Here is a 5,403-nt window from a genome sequence, read left to right as displayed (position 1 = left end):
GAAGAGGCAAGCCCCGTATTGGGGCGAGGCGGGTGCTGAGCCCTCCCAGGGCCCCCCATTGGCCCAGGCACCCCCCACGTGACTACCTTGCCTTGACCTGCCCCCGGTGCTGAATGTTGCTTTTACCCCCTAAGGAAGGAGTGGTTGACAATTTTCATATTTCTTCTAAATTTGGAGATTTCAGACAATGCTGGGAGCCTTGGCTCCAGCCACCAGAGGCCCATGTGGAAGTCATTAAGCCTGAGAAGGGGGGCAGGGGAGAGAGGGAGGCAGGGAGAGGAGGAGGAGGAGGAGGAGGAGGAGGAGGAGGAGGAGGAGGAAGGGGGTGGGGAACAGAGTTCTGAGGGTTGCCAGTTGTCAGCCTGGGAACAAGAGCAAACTCCCTGGGAGAAAGCTGTGTGAGAATTTCCTTCCTCCCCCAGCCCCTGTGTCCCAGGACTGCAGTGGGAGTTCTGAGACTTTCTGGGAACCTCCAGTAGGGGAGACACCAGTCCTGGCTCCTGGAATCTGGGTGATGGGAATTGGGGGAACAGGAGAACATGGGGAAGGAGAGCCCAGACCGTGGGAAGCTACTCCCATCATCATGCAAACGAGGCCTGGGCCTGACAGGGAAGATCCTGACCCAGCCACCTGGCAGGGTCACCACAGGGCAGGGGTTTGAATGTGGAATGTCCTTCAGGGGGCTCTCTTTTCCCTGCCACCGCAGTCCTGAGAAATGCCCATCTCTTGCCGGAGTCCCTCTTTCTCCTTTTGCTTGGCCACCTTGGCCTCCTACAGATTCTTTAGTGTTTTTCATGCCTCAGGGCTTTTGCACTTGCATTGCTCGCTGCCAAAAATGCCTTCTTCCCAGAGCTCATGCTGCTCCTTCCCCTGCTCCTGTCTCCCACTCAGAAGTCTCCTCTGGAAGAGCCATTCCCTGGCCCCCTCAGTATTCTGTCACACCCTCTGCTTGCTTCCCGCTTCGGACTCGCCACGCATGTGCCTATCTTACATGTCCACGGTTCTAGTTTCTTGCTGGCTAGCTCTTTCATGAGAGTGTGACTTCCCCTGGCAGGCTCTGTGTCCCCAGGCTTCCTAGAGTGTCTGTGAAGAAAGGTCAGAAAACACAAATCAAGGGATCACGTGAACCAGGCCTCGGCTGCCAGCCTAGGAGTGTCGTGCTGAGGCCCATGGAGGTCTTCTCCCAGGGGCCAGCGGGGCCTGCTCCCAGGGCTGCCACCGGGTCCTGCCTTCCACTGCGCAGAGCTTCCCTTCTGCAGCCAGGCCTGCTGGACCCCAGCGGTCTCTGTTCACGGCCTCATTCACAGTTCCTCAGACCCCCAGCCTGGATGGGCCTGCCAATCCCTCTCTCCTCCTTCCAGGCCAGAGGCTGTGGTCTGCCTGTCACCGACCCTGGGACCCCCTCCAGCAGCACACGGGGCCTTGTGACATCCTGAGTGGGGCCAGTTGAGGGCCCGAGGGGGTGGGGTGCTGAATCAGACACTGTCCCTGACCTTGAGAGCCTCCCAGTCCAACAGGAGGATTAAAAATGCCATGTCCTTACCCCTCCACCCTCCCTCATTCCTTCTGAGGAAAGAATTCTGTTGGTGTTGAAAGGCCGGTGGGCTTCTTCCTGCCTTGGCCACTTCCTAGCTGTGAGGTCTGCCGCTCCCAGCCTCCCTTTCCCCCGGTGCCTCCCTTTCCCCTTGGGTAAAATGGCGAGAATCACACCTGCCTTCAGCATTGCCATGAGGGCTGGGCGAGGTGGCCCGTGCAGTCCTGGAGGAAGGTGTGAGCAGGACTCGAGTGAGACTGGGCTCAGCCCTGCCCCTCTGCTCCCAATGGTGGGGCTGGGGAAAGCCCTCTGGGAACTAACTTCTGTGAAGATCACTGTCTCCTCTGTAGCACAGAGTCAATGGTTGTGAAGGTTTAGCCCCGAGCCTGCTTCAGAGTGAGTGCTTGATCGATGTAAGCTATGACTCAGAGTTGCGGTGCGAGAGCTCTACACGGAGGTTTCGCCACTAATGTCACCCCCTTCTTTTCCAAACCAAGAAGATGAATTCCGTTCATGTGCATGCCCTGGGGTGCAGGTCAGAGATGGTGGGTTAGGGAAGGCTTGTGACACCACTCCCCAACCCTGCACAGTGGCCCAGTCGAATACTCCAAAGCACCACTGACAGACTCTAGAGGGAAGATAAAGCCGGCCTAACAGAAACATCGTGTTTATGTAAAGTCCACTCTGGAGGCTGTGAAACGTAAGTTATGCTTCTGTGAGTTCTGCTACTGTATAAACAGTAGAGAGTTCGTCATCAAGAACAAACAGAAAAACTAGCAGTGCAAGCTGTGGGGAGACCCCCACCATTGAAATGCCCAAAAACTCTGCACCTGGCCGAGTGCTTTAGTCGGCTACGCCCATGAGTCAATGGGCTTGGTCAGCAGAAAGCCCATTGCGAGAGGCAAGACAAGGAACTGAAGCGACCTGGAGACAGGTCCTTGAATATCAGGAGAGAGGTGTTCTGCCACCAGACTAGCTCAAAAGGCGAAGTATATGGCAGCCATTTGTGACTCAGTGTCCATAAATCTGTCTCAAATATTTGGAAGCTGTTTCTATTTCCTGCCCATACTGTCTCTTGGGAGTTATGAACACTTTACATTATGAACAACTCATTCTGTGAAGTGGCTTTTCTTTCCAGACTGGGAGAGGCAGCCTTGAAATCCCTCCATTCCTAGAGAAAACAGGTCGACAGACTGCGGCTTGGTATGTGTGAGTAAGGCTTCTTGGGAGGTGAAGGGAGGTTCCTGTTAGGAGCTGAGTATGAGAGTGAGTTTGCATCGTTGAGTCCTGTGTTTTCAGATGGTGTATTTAGTCAGGGGGAGGGGGACCCTGTCCAGGAGAATAGAGGACTCATGGGCCCTGGGAGAGCCGGCTCTACTTCTCTACAGAGTGACCAAGGAAGACCTTGAATTGGTACAGTTGGAACCTTTAGGAAGATGGAATCTAGATCCACATGGGAAATACTTTTTAAGCCAGTGGAACTAACCAAGGATGAAGTGGGCTAACAAGCTGTCTTGGTAAAGTGGTGAGTTCCCTGTTATTAAGGGAATGCAAGCAGAGGCTGGACAACTTGGCAAGTCCCTTCCCAGCCCTGAGATCGTATGGGCTTCACTTCACCCTTTCTGTTCTCACCTCCCAACCTGTCCCTAATCTCCAACCCTGAATTCACACTAATTCTACCCAGGAGGCTCAGCTCAGAGGTGGCCAGTTGGGAAACAATTTTATATTGAAAAGGCCCATAACCCCTGAGTTAAAAATCAAGCCCCATATGTTCTCTTCAATGAACATAAAACTTTTTTTTTGTTGGTAGAGTTGGTATGTGGGAGGTGGGAATATGGACAATTAGTGATGAAATGCCTATAATTATTTGCCTTGCAATCCAACCATTTTCTCAAAAGCATCATACCATGGAAAGCTGCCCACATGGCTAGGCGTGGTGGCTCACACCTGTAATCCCAGCACTTTGGGAGGCTGAGGCAGGAGGATCTCTTGAGCCCAGGAGTTTGAGACCATCCTGGGCAACACGGTGAAACCCCGTCTCTATAAAAAATACAAAAAATTAGCTGGGCATGGTGGACTGTGCCTGTAATCCCAGCTCCTTGGGAGGCTGAAGTGGGAGGATCACTTGAGCCTGGGAGGCAGAGGCTACAGTAAGCCGAGATTGCATCACTGCATTCCAGTCTGGGCTATAGAATGAGACCTTGTCTCAAAACAAAACAAAACAAAACAAAACAAAACAAAACAGAACAAAACAAACAAAAAACTGTCTACAACTTGCTATTGAGTTTTTTTTTTTTTTTTTTTTTTTGAGATGGAGTCTCACTGTGTAACCCAGGCTGGAGTGCAATGGTGCGATCCCGGCTCACTGCAACCTCTGCCTCCCGGGTTCAAGCGATTCTCCCACCTCAGCCTCCCAAGTAGCTGGGACTACAGGTATGTGCCACCACGCCTGGCTAATTTTTTGTATTTTTAATAGAGATGGGGTTTCACCGTGTTAGCCAGGATGGTCTTGATCTCCTGACCTTGTGATCCGCCCGCCTCGGCCTCTCAAAGTGCTGAGATTACAGGCATGAGCCACCGTGCCCGGCACGAGTTTTTGTTCTTTTTTTTTTTTTTTTTTTAAAAGCATGGTATTAAAGAAGATAAATTGTATAATCCCTTTTAAGTCAAATGATGTGTACGTATGTGTGTGTCAGGAGAGGGTAAGTGTGAGAGTAGCAAGGCGCCCTGCTGGAGGTTGAATTTGTGTGTTGTCTCTTCCCTAATCTACTTCACAGATAGGCCAGGACAGGAAGTCACTGTGGAGTGCCCAAAGGTAGTATCTTTGGGAATGGCAGGGGAGGGTGAATTAACTCATTGTCCTGAGAGAAGGATGTAACACACCTTTTATGTTGATCGCCAGGGAAGAATGGTTATGGGAAGGGGAACAATGGTGTAGCCCAGTCCTCCCAAATCTTTGTGGGAAAGGCTTGCATTGAAGGGCCCTGGGTGGTTGGCTTGGAGCCCTTCTCTGGTCTAGGGGGAGCACCGTCTTCCACTACCGTGGCTGCTTTGGGAGTAGTGAACCTGACTGACAACTCGAATATTACTCACCAAGATTAGCTCCTGCTCGGTTATTCATGTCCTTCCACCATGGTCAGTGCACTGATACAAGACCACATGGGTCTGGACACCTCCTTCCAAGACGCCTGTACGGGAACCCTCTGTGTGTAAGAGGGAGGCAGTGAAAACCCTGTAGAGAGCAGCTGGGCTGCATGCTGGACTTCCTGCTATCACCAGCACATGGGGCTTGAACACTTGAAGTTTCAAGGAAAACCGGGCCACACTAATTGCACCCTGAACAGTGCAGGGTAACACATGTGACCGTGCATGTAAAATGCACCGTTCGATGTGTGAAAGAACGTTCAACAAAATAAGAAGAGAAGTTATCTCTGGGTGGAGGGAATTTGGGGTGATTTGGGCTTACTTCACTATAGTTTTCTGTATTTGATTTTTGTCTTGATTTTCATTGAGCATTTCTTGTTTTTAGGCAATTATCACATTTATTTATTTATTTGAGAGGGTTTCTTCCTCTGTCACCCAGGCTGGAGTGCAGTGGTGCAATCTTGGCTCACTGTAACTTCCGCCTCCTGGGTTCAAGTGATTCTCCTCCCTCAGCCTCCCTCAGCCCCCTAAGTAGCTGGAATTACAGGCATATGCTACCACACCTGGCTAATTTTGTACTGTTAGTAGAGATGTGCTGCCACACCCGGCTAGTTTTGTACTGTTAGTAGAGATGGGGTTTCACCATGTTGGCCAGGCTGGTCTTGAACTCCTGACCTCAGGTGATCCACCCGCCTCAGCCTCCCAAAGTGCTGGGATTACAGGCA

The 5,403-nt window shown here is 51.5% G+C and overlaps 1 protein-coding gene across 3 annotated transcripts in view, besides 1 other annotated feature; it reads left to right on the top strand.

The window, feature by feature from the left end:
• Positions 1,362-1,952: an enhancer, noted in NCBI's record as "H3K4me1 hESC enhancer chr5:148784456-148785046 (GRCh37/hg19 assembly coordinates)". NCBI's record gives its function as "activates a minimal SCP1, AML or CMV promoter by ChIP-STARR-seq in primed H9 embryonic stem cells {active_cell/tissue: H9 hESC(primed)}" and the evidence as "EXISTENCE:reporter gene assay evidence [ECO:0000049][PMID:30033119]".
• Positions 2,643-5,403, top strand: part of IL17B (interleukin 17B) — a 29,936-nt gene continuing 27,175 nt past the window's right edge. For all 3 annotated transcript variants that reach the window (NM_001317987.2, XM_017009348.2, XM_017009347.2), the window contains exon 1: positions 2,643-2,737. The gene's annotated coding sequence lies outside the window, so the exon portion shown is untranslated. The remainder of the gene's footprint in view (positions 2,738-5,403) is intronic.

The sequence above is a fragment of the Homo sapiens genome, chromosome 5 (assembly GCF_000001405.40).
Source record: "Homo sapiens chromosome 5, GRCh38.p14 Primary Assembly".
Taxonomy (NCBI): domain Eukaryota; kingdom Metazoa; phylum Chordata; class Mammalia; order Primates; family Hominidae; genus Homo; species Homo sapiens.
The sequence above is the reverse complement of the archived record's forward strand: the minus strand, read 5'-3'. Positions and strand labels throughout refer to the sequence as shown.